General features: G+C 33.8%; 1 long non-coding RNA gene across 6 annotated transcripts in view; it reads right to left on the bottom strand.

Moving 5' to 3' along the window:
* Positions 1-18,054, bottom strand: part of MEF2C-AS1 (MEF2C antisense RNA 1) — a 584,252-nt gene that overhangs the window by 315,104 nt on the left and 251,094 nt on the right. For 2 of the 6 annotated variants that reach the window (NR_136218.1, NR_136222.1), the window contains one exon: positions 1,883-1,945. The exons of 3 other annotated variants lie outside the window; for them this stretch is intronic. This is a non-coding gene — a long non-coding RNA (MEF2C antisense RNA 1). Of the gene's footprint in view, positions 1-1,700; positions 1,755-1,882; positions 1,946-18,054 lie in introns of all 6 variants that reach the window. One more of the 6 variants, NR_136219.1, reaches the window with a different exon arrangement.

Here is an 18,054-nt window from a genome sequence, read left to right as displayed (position 1 = left end):
TAAATAAATAAATAAATAAAGCTTATTTGCAAACTATTCTGACAAGGGACCAGTATTCAAAATATATAAGGAACTCAAACTACTCAACAGCAAAAAACAAAACAAAACAAAACAAAAACCCTTTAAAAAGTAGGCAAAGGACATGAACAAACATTTCTCAAAGCAAGACATACAAATGGCCAATGGATATATGAAAAAATGCTCAACATCACTAACCATCAGAGAAATGCAAGACAAAAGCATGATGAGATATCCTCTTACTTCAGGTAGAATGTCTATTATCAAAAAGGCAAAAAATAAAAGATGCTGGTGAGGATGTGGAGACATGGAAACTTCTATACATTGTTGGTGAGAATGTAAATTAGTGCAGCCATTATAGAAAATAGTATGAGGATTTCTCAAAATACTAAAAATAAAGCTACCATATGATGCAGCAATCCCACTATTGGGTATATATTCAAAGGAAAGGACATCAGCATATCAAAAGGATACCCATCATGTTTACTGCAGCACTATTCACAATAGCAAAAATATGAAATCCACCTAAGCGTCCATCAAGGGATCAACTGATAAAGAAAATGTGGTATATATAGACAAGAGAATACTATTCAGCCATAAGAAAGAATGAAATCCCATCATTTGCAGCAACATGGATGGAACTAGAGGTCTTTATGTTAAATCAAACAAGCCAGAAACAGAGAAAACAAATATTGCATGTTCTCACTCACATGTAGGAGCTAAATAAAAAGTTGATCTCATGGAGGTAGAGAGTAAAATGACAGATACCATAAGCTGGGAAGACTTTGGAGGAGTAATGAAGAGAAGTCGGTTAATGGGTACAAACATACAATTTGATAGAAAGAATAAGTTATCATGTTTGATAGCAGAGTAGGGTAATTATAATTAACAATAATGTATTGTATATTTCAAAATAGCTACAAGAGAGACCTTGAAATGTTCCCAACATATAGAAATGACAAATTCTTGAGGTGATTGTGATGGTCATTACACATTCTATGTCTGTAACAAAACATCACATGCACTCCATCAATATGTACAAATATTATGTAACAATCAATCAATAAGAAAATGGGCCGGGCATGGTGGCTCATGCCAGTAATCCCAGCACTTTGGGAGGCCAAGGCGGGCAGATCACCTGAGGTCAGGAGTTCGAGACCAGCCTGACCAACATAGAGAAACCCTGTCTCTACTAATAATACAAAAGTTAGCTGGACTTCGTGGTGCCTGCCTGTAATCCCAACTACTTGGGAGGCTGGGGCACGAGAATTGTTTGAACTCGGGAGGTGGAGGTTATGGTGAGCCAAGATCATGCCATTGCACTCCAACCTGAGCAAAAAGAGTGAAACTCCGTCTCAAAAAAAAAGAAAGAAAGAAAGAAAAGAAAGAAGAAAGAAAGAAAGAAAGAAAGAAAGAAAGAAAGAAAGAAAGAAAGAAAGAAAGAAAGGAAAGAAAACGAAGCTCAAAGAAATTATTAAGTAAGTAACTCACCAGAGATGGCACACTAAAAAATTTTAAGATTCTGACCTTGAACACAGGCATTTTGACTCCAGTTTTACTGTGCTTTTGACCTCCCTATGATTCCCTTTTCAACAACTGACATTGACCTTTATCCACTTTCTCCCCACTTTGGATCTAAGATATCTGAGGCAAGTAAAGTCCAAAGCAACTTACAGACTTACCTACCACATGTGAATGTTAATTGATAGCATTTGCTTCTTTGTCTCTGGTCAAACCTGGACTTGGGAAGAAATACAGGAAAGAGATGTATAGAGAACTGTACAGTCAAATCAGAGTAGGAGAGTGAAAAACAGGGAGTGCTTTCTAATTTAAGAACAGAGTGAAAGAAAAATCCTGTACTCACCTTCAATTCGTGCTGGGGATTCCAGTAAAAGCAATGACAGCATTGACAATCCTGATCTTCTCGCTTAAAGAACATAAAAGTTTCGTTATCTTTTCCAAACTCATAGTTCTCAACCAGAAAGACCTAATCAGTTAAGAGGGTGGGTAGAACATAATTTGTTTCAGATTGCATTTAATTATTATTAAATATTATTATACACTGAAGTTAACAAATGATTTAACTTAAGCAAAAGTTAGTCAATTCAAGCTTATCTTTATCATAAAGCCACTCTTTATGTGCTTCCCAGTGTTGCTTCCTAAGACTTAGAGATCAGATTGAGTAATTATTCAGACTATGTGAATTGCTTAGAATCCAAATTTTATGTGGATGTGTCTACGGCAAAGTTAAAGGATTGAAAACACTCTCCTAGATAGTTATCGATAGGCAGGAAAGTGATTCTATAACCTGCCAAAATATTTGTACATATTTCCTAAGACCTGTAAAAAGAGTAAATAGGCACTTGCAAGAGCCACTGATTTCCCAAAGGATAAGAAAATGGGAAAGAAGCAACATTTACATAAACTTAGTTGCTCTGGACAATTACCCCTATGGATCAAGGGGGATTATTCTTGTATAATCATCTTGCTGGCTATTGGTTGGCATTTAAGATTAAGGTAAACATGAGTAGCTGGGAAAAAATGATGCAGCATATGAGTTCCAAGTGTATTAATTCCATCTTTGTCAGTGTTTCTTATGTATGTTTGGAAAGTGATGGTATTTTTTTTACCTAGTCAAATAAAAAACGGTTTTCCTTAGACAAGGAATTTCATCATTTCCGAACTTTTACAATTGTGTGCTCTACCTATCATTTTCATATGCTTCCTTAACCAGCAAATGATGTGGTAAAATTGTGGGTAGCAGCAGCATGAAGAACAGAACCATTTTAATTTCTCCCATCTGGCATATTAGCATTAATAAAAGATGTTTAAAAAGAGAAGGCTTGAAAGGCTTTCACCTCTTGATTTACCAAGATAATAAGGAAAGCTTGCAATCTGCCACTAAATATAACTGATAAGAATGAGTATAATGTGATGATCACCAAGATTAACCTTTGAGACAATTTGTAAAACCCTGCTGATTACATTACAATCATGTTAAGACTAGCACTAAAACTGTTGTTGCTACTTTTTAGTACAAATAAAATAGGAAAAATCCCATTTGTAGAAATATAGATTACATAGATTAATAGAACAAAAATTGGGAAGTTACCTACACCTGCCTTATCTGTAAACCAACCATAGTGGATCTCCCTCTCAATGGTGTTTGTGGATTTAATATTTCAACTGAATGATTATATTGCTGGTTTAGACTAAGTACAGCATAACACTGATTATATGTTTCTATATTTATCTGTTTCACCTAGTTTTGTTGTTATCACATTACAGTCCCCTTCACTAACACCTCATTAATATTTTCCCATTTATCCTGGGTTTTTGATAGGACAGGGGAAGAATTTACTTACCCAGGCAGTTTCTCAATTAAAATGGGATTTGGGGAACCTATTCTTCTTAATTGGAAAATTACCTGAGTGGTTTGTCCAAGCTTTTCATAGCTTTTCTGGCTGACATTTTTGACCACAACTACAGTTCAAAAGAATACTATAGCTGAAAATTACATATAACAATAAAATGAAGAAATCACAAGGGAGTTTAACACAAATGATTTCTTTGTTCAACTTATTCTTGACCATGCATCAGGTAAGGTATTTCAGATGGTTATCTTATAGGGTAAACAGGCAGTCTGGGAATAAAAATTTGCTTACAAACATTATTGTTTCTACTAAAACCAATTTATAATAGGGTCAATGAGGTCATCTACTTATCCTGATATCAAAAAGTACCTAGAAATACAAAGACTGGCCTGCTTACATAAGACATACTTATATTATTCACTACCTTAAGTGAATGCACAGTTTTTGTCTTGGTTTGGCTTGTTTATTCAAGACAAAATTTGGTAGTATAAAGTTTAGAGCTTAGAACTGAATGAGAGATGTTCCTAAGGTATCCCTAATGCAAATTTGAACTATTTGCATTTATTTATTTATATAATGAATCAATAAGCACATAGAGAGTATATAAAAGCCTGTTAGTTTAGCTTTTGCACATATGGTATCCAATCCTGAAAGCCCCCTTTGTATTACAAAGACACAAATAAACTGGTAGCAATCACAATGAATGTATACATGCTACTTTATCATCACTACTATATATCTTGTTTAATTTCACAACTGAAAGCTTACTGTCCAATGGAAAAAGCAGTGCAGATTGGAAGACAATAGACAATAATGAGAATTCTGTGTGCAGAATGAGGCTGTATGTGGACCATAGAAGAAATGATAAACCCATGGTAACCATTAGAGATTTTTATTTTTATACAGACTCAATTAATCAAAATCATTTGGCTAGGATTTTTTTAAATAGAAGAATCAAACTCCAAAAATTCCTACTCAGTATTTAAGGCTATAAGAATTGTACTTCAACCACTGAAAAGTAGAAGAAAATAAACAATCTAAGTCTTCATTCATTCCTCACATAGGGGAAACAGGGAATTAGATCTTGCATAGTACCTAATAGACCCATAATTTTTCCTCTATTATGTTCAGTATTATTTCCAGTAATTGCAAAAGTAAGTACATTTCTTGTTTCTTCTAAAAGTCTAAAGGTCATTTAAAGTTGAGTTTCAAAGGCATAGAATGAATTATATGTACTGATAGGAATGCGTACTATATTTTAGATGAAAAGATTTATATGTATCCTAAAAATCTTTTTTCTTTCATTCAATTTTTGATTAATTAGACTGATAAATATGCTAAATAGTACATTATTACCACTTTCATTAAAAGAAAAATAATTTTATGTCTTTTAAAAACATGGAATTAAATTGGATAAGTAGTATTGATTAATTTTTTAAAGTTCAAAGATATGAACAAATACACCACTTTCTGTATTTCAAAGACTTTTAAAAAATAACAATGGAAAAATAATTTTTTTTTAAAATTACCCCAAGCTATGTATTTTGCAAAGTAAAAAATACTTGATTCAAAGTCTAACCAAAAGGAGTTAAAAAACAAAACAAAACAAAAGCCTCCAGTGGGCAATTATTTTCCAAGATCTGTCCTCAAGGCAAGTTTTTTCTGGAAAATTTGGAATTCTCCAGATGGTGAATTTTCCAAGAACTATAAGTAACTTTAAGACAGTGTCTATAATAGGGATAAATCATAAAGGTAAATTCTTTGTTTAATAAAACCACAGGACTCGTATGTTGATTACACTGCTTGAATGGCTTTGATTTTGTTGAGAAAAAGCTGGCCTGATGAGTTCAGTGTTTCCACTTCTATTTCTCCAGCCAAGGGATATGGATGAATCACTAACAATTCATCACCACTACTGGGAAAGTAATGCAAAGCATATTTCATATTAATTCCATATTGGTAGTATCACCTTTGTGTATGAAAGGTGATACAAATAATTCTCTTCATATTGAATACATTTCTAAGTGACAATTAACAAAACATTAACCCTATCAAAATAGAAAGCCAACATATTATCTCTAAATAAAAAGCATTAAGTAGCATTGAAAAAATTTATTTGCGTCAGATCTTGGTTTTTAAATTCCAAAATAGGGGAGAAACCAAATACCCTTGCAGTAAGGCTGATTCCAGAGCTGGGGTAAGGAAAATACAAGATAAGCCTGGATCATCTTGTAGTAATAGAACAGAAAACAAAGAATTGTAGGGTGTGCCAGAAGAACACAGGAGCCATCCTGACAGAGCCCCCATAGGCCAAAGCTGAAATAATTTGAGCATCAAATAAATAGTGAAATATTGGTTTATAGCCCAAAGTATAAAACATATACCTCTGTGCCCATACTGATGTAAATAAATGCTTTAATAATCAAATAAGTGAGAAGAAAAGACAAATTCTTAGCTAGGAATTCCATATAGTATATGTAGATTTTCCCCTTCAGGAGGTAGAGCCTAATTATCTTCCTACTGAGTATGGACTAGAATTAGTGACTTATTTCTAATGAATAGAGCATAGAATGAGAAAAATAGTAACTTCACAGTGAAGAAACCAAGCAAACACTACCTTAATAAACAGTGAAAATTAACATCATTGGTGAATCCATGGGGATGTCATGTATCTTTCATATGACGTAATAATAAGGCCACTTTGCCTTTGTAATATTCATTAGAAAATTCATAACTCTAGTCTAATAATGATAAAAACATTGGAGAAACCCAGATTTGGGGGCATTCTATTGGATACCTGGCCAGTACCCCTCAAGATTCTCAAGATAATGAAAAACATGATTGAGAAATTGACATAGATCAGAGGAAACTGGGGACACATGACAACTAGACACAATATATTATTCTCACTGGATCCTGAAACATTAATGAAAAACTTGATGACATGTAAGTAGTATGGAGTTTAGTTCACAGCAATATACTAATGTTGGTTCCTTAATTTTGAGAAATGTACTGTGGTAATGTAAGATATTAACAATAGGGAAAACTAGTTGAAGGGTATACTGGAACTCTATTATCTTTCCAACTTTTCTATAATTCCAAAATTATTCTAAAATTTAAAATTAATTTAAAAGCAATTGGCATAAACAGTGATCCCAGAAAGAAACTCTTGCATACATGGTCAAACGATTTTTTTTTTCAAAAGGTGCCAAGATCATTCATTCAATGGGAAAAGGACAGTTGGTTCAATACTGATGTTGGTAAAACTGGATATCTGCAAGCGAATGAATGAAGTTGGGCCCTGACTTTATGCCATATATAAAAATTAACCCAAATAGATGAAATACTAAACATAAGAGTTAAAACTATAAAGCTTCTTAATACTGGATTGGGCAATGCTTTCTTAATATTACTCAAAAAGCATAGGCAACAAGAAAAAAATAGATAAATTGAACTTAACCAAAATTTTTTAAAATTTGTGCATCAAAAGATGCAACCAACAGAAATAAAAGGCAACCCATGGAATGATAGAAAATATTTACCAATCATACATCTTATAAGGAATGGATATCCAAAATGTAAAATAACTCCTAAACTTAGTAACAACAAAAACAAATAATCCAGTCTAAAAATGGGCAAAGGACTTGAATAGACATTTTTCCAAAGAAAATATGCAAATGGCCAATAAACACATGATTATTGCTAATTATTAGTGAAATGCAAATAAAAAATAGATAAGATACCACTGTACACCCATTAGGATTCCCAATATTAAAAAAAATAAAGTAACAAGTATTGGCAAGGATATGTAGAAACTGGAATTCTTGTACATTGCTAGTGGGAATATTAAATGGTGTAGCCACTATGGAAAACAGCGTGACAATTGCTAAAAAAAAAAATATTAAACACAGAATTACCATATGATTTAGCAATTCCCTTTTGGGAATATATCCCAAAGAAATTAAAGACTCAAACAGATATTTGTATACTCATGCTTAACAGTGATGTAATTCACAATGGACAAAAGGTGGAAGCAACTCAAGTGACTACTGATGGATGAATGGATAAACAAAATATGGTCTATACAATACACACAATGGAATATTACCCAGCCTTTAAAAAGAAGGACATACTGACACATGCTACAACATGGGTGAACCTTGACCACACTGTGCTAAGTACAATGAGCTATCACTAAAGGACAAATATTGTATGATTCCACTTACGTGGTGTATCTGGATAGCCAAATTCACAGCGACAGAAAATAGAATGGTAGTTGCCAAGGGTTACAGGAAAGGAAAGAATGGGGAGGTAACGTTTAATGAGTATAGAGTTTCTTCTGTTGGAGAAGATGAAAAAGTTCTGGAGGTAGATGATGGTGATTGTTGCAATAACAACTTGCATGTGCTTAATGCCAAAGGACTGTATACTTAAAGATTGCTAAAATGGTAAATTTTATGTTTTATACATATTTTACCACAATAAAATTTTAAAAACCAATTATCATAACAGGTTCATTTTTTTCTTTATCTTGTCAGATAGATAAATAGATAGATAGAGAGACATTAAAAATGTTTCCAGAGACAGGGATCAGTTCGCTGAATGTAACAAATGGAAATTAGAAACTGGATTATAAAACCAGTCATTATTAGAAAGTTAAAAATTACAAAACCAGGTAAAGATAAATTATTTAAACATGTGAGACATTTAGCAACAGATATATTAAACTTTGTTAGGTTATTCAATTTAGGAGAAGCCGATAGAGATTAATGAGGGCTAACACATTATCAACTATTTTTAAAAACAATAGGATGTCACACATTACTTTTCTTGATACCAGTCAAAATAACAAAAATGTAACAAAAATTAAAAATGGAGATAAAAAATAAAGTATTCTTTCATGTAAGTAAAAATAATCAGTTAAATGCTGTGTTGAGATTAATGTTTAAAATAGAGCATTAATGGAAATAATAAACTAGCTTGAAGAAAACATCTGGAAAAAACTAACAATTTTTTGACTTTTTCTTTCCTCCTGAGGATATTTTCTTGTTTTCTTAATGTGATTTCCCCCCTTTATACCCTCTCTCACTCAAATCCCATCTTGCTCATTGTTTCCCTAGTCAGTCAATTAATAAAAGCCAATAAATCAGTTAATAAGAGATTTTGTCTATCAGGTTTGACAATGGCATGTCTTTAGAACACGAAAATTGAAGGAAAGAGTTATTCATTCACTCATTGCTCATTTAACATATACATTTTAAGGGCCTAATTATTTAAAAGGTTGTTCTTGATACTGTACTCTAATCAAATATTTTGTTTCTTATCTTTTTTGTCACATGGTGTAAGCCTTTCCTTTGTTATTATTAGTCCTGCTTTTTTCCTCTTTTCCAAGTACGAGGCCATTTTTTCAAAGCTTACCAAAATTCCTTCAGATGTATCATTTCTTCATAACAACTATAAATCTTGCATGTCAGAGCCAGCACATAGTAAGTGTTCTGTAATTGTGTTCAATGAATGAAAATTGGTGAATCTTGATGCCCTCTCAACATCAGTTGTATGTAGAATGCTAGCTGTACTCTTCTGGGTTATAAAACCTTCAAATGTAACCAATTAACTACTCTCAAAACATTTATAAATGGTAAGTCTCAAAGTTCAATTGAAAATAAAGTCATATTTATATAAAAATCTGCTCTCACATGTTCTTCAAATGCATTAGATTGTAAGGAACTTCTTGTTAAACCCAAAAAGCAATTATAACACTTGAATACACTGTCTGTGTTTGATTACTAAGGTATCAATTAATGCTGAAAACATTCAACATTGTTTAAATTTCACAGAAGCCTAGCAAAGGGAAAATAAGAAGTATATATGTGGTTAATTCTCTAAGTTATAAATTTACAATTAAAATTTGGCCAAGCTTTAGATACTTAAGAGTTTAATTGACCATGTAATTCTGAAACACACTACAAAGATTCTATTACAGTAAACGCATGGTTATAGGTACATAGCTAAATCATAACAAATCTTGCACATCAAATTCTACTTTTATTTACATTTCCTTAAAAAAAAACAGGCTTACCCTTGAATCAGAGACATCATCTCTTAAAACATACCATATGTCTTTTCTTGTATAGCACATGTTAAAAAAACAGCCTTAATTAGTGTCAATGCATTGTTTGGTTTCTTCACTGACACTTCCTTTATTCTGTTGAGCAGTGTAGCAGTTACCCTTGCATCTTTGTGGAGGTTGGAGACCAAGTTAGTGGAGAGAAGGCTCTGGAGAGTCCAGAAAATGTGAGTGGCTGTCATAGGGCATTAACTAGAATCCATGCCATTTATTTACTATTCTGCTAAGGAAACAACATAAAAGAAAATCCTGTGGGGTTTTTTTGCTCATACTATCAAATATTTACAAGATATAAGTGCTCCTCTAGTTTTGGGAATAGAAGAGAACTTATTAAATATCAAGTGAAGGGAAATAAGGAAGAAAATAATTATTGACTTTAGTTTTCTGTTTATTATTTTGAACAAGCAAGCAAGAAATAATAATTCTTTTTTATGATAAAAGTGATAATGTAATATTCAGCAGATTTATCATCATATAATTACAGAACTCTAGAAAAGGTCTAAGGCTGAGTGTCCCATGTGGACTTGCAAAGCCTATCTTGTTCAAAGGAATTGAATTTCTGGTTCAAATTCATTCAGGAGATTTCAGTCTCATTGATTATTTTAAAAGCACTGTAAAATAGATTATTTTCTTTAATATCTGACTTGATATCCCTCATTCCTTTTCTTTTAATCTTCACATTTCTAGCCCATTACTTTTATTTAAAATAAAATTATTATTATTTTTTTTCTGTAGGAAATCTTATTCAACCCGACTCCTTGTATGGTATTTTCTCTTATTCAAAGCCTTACTCCAACTAAGCTTGAGCTTTGTTTCTCTTTTCCCTTCTTTTCTCTTCTTTGCCTTTATAGACAATCCTAGAGACTCACATAAACTCTTTGTCTAAAATCATCCACCAATGTTACCAACTATCTATTAACCCATCCTCAATAACTATGCTTATGAGAAAAAGAAAAAAAGAAAAATGTAAAGTAATTAAAACATATAATCCTATTTTTGTTGTTTTTTATTGGAATATAATCACACAGCAGGAATTTTTGGGTAGCATTTGTTCAAAAATAAACAGCAATCATCTGCTATTTGCATATGACTTTTTTAGGCACTTTTAGTAGAAATGAACATATATGACCACTGTCCTCAAGGATAATTGAGCTACAAATCAGTCAGTAACAGAAGAATGGACTAATAGAAGAATTAAAGTTCTTCTAAATTATAGTAAATTTAATGAACTATTAAATTTAATGAACTATTAAAAGTTAAGGTTTATGAAGAATAATTAACCACATTCATCCTTATGTTTTTACTACATTAAACTTCTAAACTCATCTTTACTTATTTGCATCCTCATCAGAGACTTCGAATCTTACCCCTTTGTCCTTTCACAACCTTCTTAAAAACCTTCAACCCCCTCTCCACTTCCACAAAGATCTATTTGTCATCTTTAAAAAATATACACACACACACAACCAGGCAGATTGGTGGTATTACACATTTATGCTTTCCAATTTGAGGTGTTTTAGCATCCTAATTCTACAATCATTTTACACATTGCTAATTGAATCCCTTTCCAGCCTCCAGAGTAGCGATTTGAAACTGCCACTGATCTCGCCCATATCCATGGCCCCACACCCTCTCCTCACATTGCCTACCTCCAGCCATACATAGGAATTAGAAGCTATTAAGGACAAACCTGTCTACACAGAATCTTTGGTCTCTTCACAGCCCCCTCCTACCTTCAAGCACATGTCAGTAAATTTATCTATACTGCCACTCTCTTTACTTCCTTCCTTTCCTCATATCTCAGATTGGCCCCTTAAAAATAAAAATATTGCACTGTCCCTCAGGATTGCTCTACATATTTTTATTTTTCCTAATCAGCTTTTATTTATATTCCTCAGAGCAGTTCTTCAAAACATTTACCTATACTGTCTACCCTATGCCCGCTATTATCTTCTTGGCCGCAATCAATAACTCAGACTACATTAAGAAAATAACAGCTATCTGAAATGAAGTTCAGAGTTTCCTTGATGTATTCCTGCATATATTCACTCACATATGAACTTACTTATTTTGGTGCCTATATTTTACTAAATGTTTTTGTCTCAGAAGGAAAAATGTGGTTTCTTTCTGTCAAGGCTAACCCCTCTCCTGCAATAATAATCACATTTCCTCCTAAAGGAATCCTCATCTTTTTCTTGTACGCTCAAACTCCCTCTAATTACTAGCTCCTTTCCTACAACCTCAAATAGTCTCAGATAACCCATCGTCCAACCCTAACTCACACAAAAATACCTCCAAAACCTTCATTTTGATCCTGAATCATTTCCAAATTACTACAGAATTTCTCTTCTTATTTTAATGACAAATTTCTGCCACAGCTTTTTGGATATCTTTATTTCCTCTATTTCCTTGATCCATTGTTCTTTGACTTTTGCATCCCAAATAGACACCTCTTGACATCTCTAAGATGAGCAGTAGTATCCTCATTGCGGAAACCTTATCAGCTGACTCTCTTCTTCCTCACAAATTCTCCTCCTCCCTTTACTTTCATTATATTACATTCTCCTGGTTCTCTTTCTAAGTCTCTGACTCTATTTTCCTTCTCTCTCCATGTTTTCCTACTCTTCATTTACCTGCCTATTAAATGTTGGAATTCCTCAGGATATGATCCTCTCCTCACTCTATACACACTCTCTGAGGAGTGAGATATTCTGACACAGGTGTTTTAAGATGTCCTTTTGACATAGCTTCTTTGACTGTGTGGTTTTGATGTCATGAGTATTTTTAATAATGCTCCAAAAACAGTTATTAAACGTTAACTTTTAAAAACAATTGCCAGTGAGGAATTCCTAGCCAGAGTAATCAGGCAAGAGAAAGAAATAAAGGGCATCCAAATTGGAAAAGAAGTCAAACTATTTCTGTTTGCCGATGATATGGTCATATTCCCAGAAAACCCTAAAGACTCCTCCAAAAGACTCCTAGATTTGACAAATGAATTCAGTAAAGTCTTGGGTTACAAAATCAATATACGCAAATCAGTAACACTGCTACATACCAACAATTACTAAGCTGAGAATAAAATCAAGAACTCAATTCCCTTTACAATAGCTGCAAAACGAGTTAATGGGTGCAGCACACCAACGTGGCACATGTATACATATGTAACAAACCTGCACGTTGTGCACATGTACCCTAAAATGTAAAGTATAATAATAATAAAATTAAAAAATAAATAAAAAAAAATAAAATACCTAGGAATATACTTAACCAAGGAGGTGAAACATCTCTACAAGAAGAACTACAGAACACTGATGAGAGAAATAATAGATGACACAAACAAGTGGAAATACATCTCATGGTCATGGACTGGAAGAATCAGTATCACCAAAATGACCATAGTGCCCAAAGCAATCTACAAATTCAATGCAATTACTATCAAAATGCCAACAGCATTTTTTACATAATAAAAAAATCCCAAGATTCATAAGGAACCAAAAAAGAGCCTGAATAGCTAAAGCAATCCTAAGCAAAAAGAACAAATCTGGAGGCATCACGTTTCCTGATTCTAAATTATATTACAAGGCTATAGTAACCAAAACAGCATAGTACTGATATAAAGTAGAAACATAGACCAATAAAACAGAATAGAGAACCCAGAAATAAATCCAAATACTTACAACCAACTGATCTTTGACAGGGCATACAAAAACATAAATTGGAGAAATAACACCATATTCAATAAATGGTGTTGGGAAAACCGGGTAGTCATACGTAGAGAATGAAACTAGATCCCTCTTCTTACCACATAGAAAAATCAACTCAAGATGGATTAAAGACCCAAAATCTAAGACCTAAAACCATAAACATTCTGGAAGATAAGTTGGAAATACCCTTCAGAACATTGGCCTAGGCAAATAATTTATGACTACAACCCCGAAAGCGTATGCAGCAAAAGTAAAAATAAATAAATGAGACCTAATTAAACTAAAATGCTTCTGCACAGAAAAAAAATCATCAGAGTAAACAGACAATCCACAGAATGGGAGAAAATATTTTCAAACTATGCATCTGACAAAGGACTAATATCCCAAATATACAAGGTATTCTAACATATAAGCAAGAAAGGAACAAATAATTCCATCAAAAAGTGACAAATTACATAAATAGACAATTCTCAAAAGAAGATATACAAGCAACCAACAAACGTGAAAAAATGTTCACATCACTAATCATCGGGGAAATGCAAACTTAAACCACAATAAGATACCACCTTGCCCCAGCCAGAATGGCGATTAATAAAAAGTAAAAAAAAAAATAGATATTGGCATGGATGTGGTGAAAAGGGAAAACTTATACACTGCTGCTGGGCATTTAAATTAGTACAACCTCTATGGAAAACAGTATGGCGATTTCTCAAAGAACTAAAAGTAGAACTACCATTCAACCCAGCAATCCCACTACTGGGTATCTACCCAAAGGAAAAGAAATTATATCAAAAAGACACTTGCACACATATGTTTATCACAGCACAATTCACAGTGGCAAAGATATGGAACCAACCTATGTGCGCATCAACTGATGAGTGGATAAAGGAAATGTGATATATATGAACCAGGGTCTACTACTGAGCCCTAAAAAAGAATAAAACTGGAGGCCAGCAGCAACTGTAGGCCAGATGCTGGAGGCCATTATTCTAAATGAAGTAACTCAGGAATGGAAAACCAAATACCATATCTTCTAACTTATAAGTGGGAGCTAATCTATGGGTAAACAGAGGCAAACAAAATGGTATAATGGACATTGGAGACTCTGAAGGGGGAAGGATGGGAGGAGGGTGAAAGATTTAAAAACTACATATTTGGTACAAAGACACTACTTTGGTGATGGGTACACTAAAATCTCAAACTTCAGCACTATGCAATTCATCCACGTAATGAAAAACACTTGTACCCCTAAAGCTATTGAAATAAAATAAATAAAAAATAAAAATTACCAGCTGTAATCCTCCTGCCCACAAAATGAATTCAATGAAATGGTTTCATTCAAGTGTCCCATGAATAAAAATGGAAACATTATATTATTTAAGTCAAAATGTCTTCTCCACACACTGGATAATCTAATCTTACTAATTGTGTTTCCTACATGGTGATAATTTGCAATCTATTACCCAGACTTCTTCTCCCTTTGATCTAAGGCTTAAATTTTTGACAGTTTACTGAACGTGTCAACATACATAGATCCCTACTGATTTCTTCAAATTAACAAATCTAAAACTGATCTCATTTTATTCTCTTCCCAAGGAGATCATCCTCCTTATAATCCTCTCTTGTTTAACAGTACCAAGATAAACCCAGCCATCCCATTCAGAACCCGAGAACCATCTCAGATTTCTCATTCTTCTTTTCTTACATTTGAAGTTCAGTAAATTCAGTAAGTTATGCCTTCCTTTAAAAAAAAACCTGTCAAAATTTTCCCAACTTTCTAACTTCAGTATATGGCTAGAATTCAAAGCTTTCATCATTTTTGGATGCAATAGGCTCCTAACTGGTCTCTTAATATAATTTGACCATCCTTCAGTCCGTGCTCCATCTTACTGCCAGGGGCATCTTTCCAAGAGCAAATCTGATTGTGTTACTTTTCTACTTAAAGCTGTGAACAGTTTCCTACTGCCTATAAGAATAGGTTCAGCTTGTCTTTTCAGAGTCATCATTTGCCACTCCCCCACACTCATCCTGAAATCTAACCACACCAAACTAAGCACAATTCTCTTAACAAGTACAAACTTAATGCCTCCTAATTTGGAGATGCCCTTATTTCCTCCTGCCCATATCTATCTAATGAATGCCTAATTTGTTCAGAATTCCTGTTGCACCCAAAATACACTTCCAAGAGTACATATATCATATACTATTGCAATCATCTCTAAAATGTTTTAGAATTGTTTAAAGAACAGTATCTTATTTGTCTTTGGGTATCAAGTGCATAGTAGAGTGCTGACATTTGGTACTCAGGAAATTTGGGTGAGTAAATAAGGGCAATCACTGTGCATATTTGAATGGCATAACATTTTCTGATTACATTTCTTAGAGAAAACAGCAAGTCCATGGGGGAGAGAGGTGAATGTTGTGTGTGACTACATTTGAATCGGGGCAAACCTTCTGATGGTGCTGAATTTTTGGCATGCAAGAAACAAGTTCTTTCAACCAGATTCTCATTTTATTGCTCCATTTAATTCGGATTAGTCTCACCTTTTTCTCTATTTCATCTGCACAGTCAATCACTGAGTATTCAACTTCCTTTTTAAGATTGTCTTTCAAAAAAGTCCATTGACTTCTCCTAAGAAATACAATAGTAAGTGAAAAAAATGTAGGCAAAGGAACATTCTGATTGTTTAAAAATGATCATGACAAAGGAGTTTTCTGTGTGGTCATATTCTTACCCGCCACAGATAGTTCACTAATTTGGGTTTTTAAAAAGTTATAAAAAATAAACCTTGCTTTACCAAGATTTTGTAAGCATTTAATTTTTCAGTGCTGCAAAATAGACTTGATCAACTGTTTTTCCCCCATAAGGTTCTACTTTAAGACCTCCATATGCTCAGTTTTAATAATCTGCTTCCAAAACCAGGAACCATTCCAAATATGAGTTATGGAAATATTGTGCTTCTTATTAAAAACAACATGAAAAGAAATATCTGAAGCCCAGGTATCAATCTTTAAAACACATAATGGCAGATTTATGTGAAAGGTTTTGTATGAAGAATTACTGCTTAAAATCACTTTTACTGAGGCAGTTTAACTCGTTTCACTAGAAGTGAAAATTGCTATGACAAATATGTCACTATGGAGGTCAAATGGTAATTTGCACATGCTAAACAGCTCAGCAGGAAATTACATGTGATCCTCGAAATCACTAGCATTCCCACCAGAAATCATTTCAGAAGACATGGAGGTCACATGGATTGTGTTAGGGATAAAACTCTTTCAAACACATGTTCTACCCTCCCCCTTGGGAGGAAGAATTAAAAGGTATGCAAAAAGGTATGATCAAAGTGTTCAAAGTTAGAGAAATGTAATTTACTGTAGTTAGAGAAAGGGAACTGAAGAAAAGTCTCATCTGAGACCAGTTTAAAAAAAAAAACTGCTTAACTTAGTCGAATCTTTTAATACTATTTTATCACTTGATGTTAATAAAATACAATTACGTTTACATATTTTCTTATCAAGAAAATATGATATGAAAAAAGAGAAAATATTCCTGAGATAATTAAAATGTCACCCTGAAAGGACTTGCTGTGCTATCTTAGCAGATTTGCTTCACCTGCATGTATGCTTGCTACAAAAAACATAAGATTTGATTTAGTGGTCTCATACCATAGTGATGTGAATGGGTGCACAATGGAAAGAAAGAGGATGACATTCAGCAGTCTCTTTTCTTCTTATTTTTATATGTTGAAGAATCCTATATCCTGTTGGTGATTGCAGGTAAACAGAAGATTGTGAATACTACAATAAAACACTATGATTAAAACTGTATTCATGTGGTTCCTTCCTTCCAATGATAAGACCTGTGAAGAATGCCTCAGAGAAAACAGCCCAGGAGAGAAGCAATGCTTTTTCTTTTCTCAAAGACCCTATTTGTAACTATCTCATGGCAAAAAGCTTTCACTTCTTAGGTCTTCCCAGTTTTTCTCTCATTATTGTATAAAGTTTCCCACATATGGAAATATATTCATTCACTGATTTATTATTAACTGAGTACCTATTTTGTCCCAGAGACTATGCTGTGTTGGAGAACAACTGTGGCAAAGGTACACAGTCCCTTTTCTCAAGAAGCCTTTGGTTTCATGGGGAGTACAAATGAGCATGGTAAGTACTAAGAGAGGGGAACTTTAAATTGCTATGTGAGCACGTAACATAATCACCTCACCCAAGATGAGTGATCAGGAAGACTTTCTGGAGGAAGAGACACCTAAGCTAAGACCTCAAGGGTGGAGCTGGAAGTTAATATTGCTTAAATGTTTGTCCTGTCCAAATCGTATGATGAAATGTAATCCCCAGTGTTGGAGGTGGGTCCTGCTTAGAGGTGTTTGAATCACGGGGATGGATCCCAAGAGGATCTTAGTGCCATCCCCTTGGTGATAAGTGAGTTCTTGCTCTGAGTTCTCATGAGATCTGATTGTTTAAGAGTGTATGGCACCTCCCTGCCCTCTCTCTTGCTCCCTCTCCCTTGTTCCCTCTCTCACTATGTGATGCACTGGCTCCCTCTTTGCCTTCTGTCATGAGAGTAAATTTCCTGAGGCTCTCACCAGAGGCAGATGCTAGAGCCATGCTTGTACAAGCTGCAGAACCATCATCCAATTAAACCTCTTTTCTTTATAAATTACCAAGCCTCAGGTATTCCTTTATAGCAATACAAGCATGAACTAACATAAAAAGTAAAGACAGGAAAATACCCAGGCCAAGAAAATACAGTATATAATGACCTAGAAGTGTTTTATGACCTAGCTCAATCAAGAAAAGTAAATACGTCTAA

The sequence above is a fragment of the Homo sapiens genome, chromosome 5 (genome assembly GCF_000001405.40).
Source record: "Homo sapiens chromosome 5, GRCh38.p14 Primary Assembly".
NCBI lineage: Eukaryota > Metazoa > Chordata > Mammalia > Primates > Hominidae > Homo > Homo sapiens.
The sequence above is the reverse complement of the archived record's forward strand: the minus strand, read 5'-3'. Positions and strand labels throughout refer to the sequence as shown.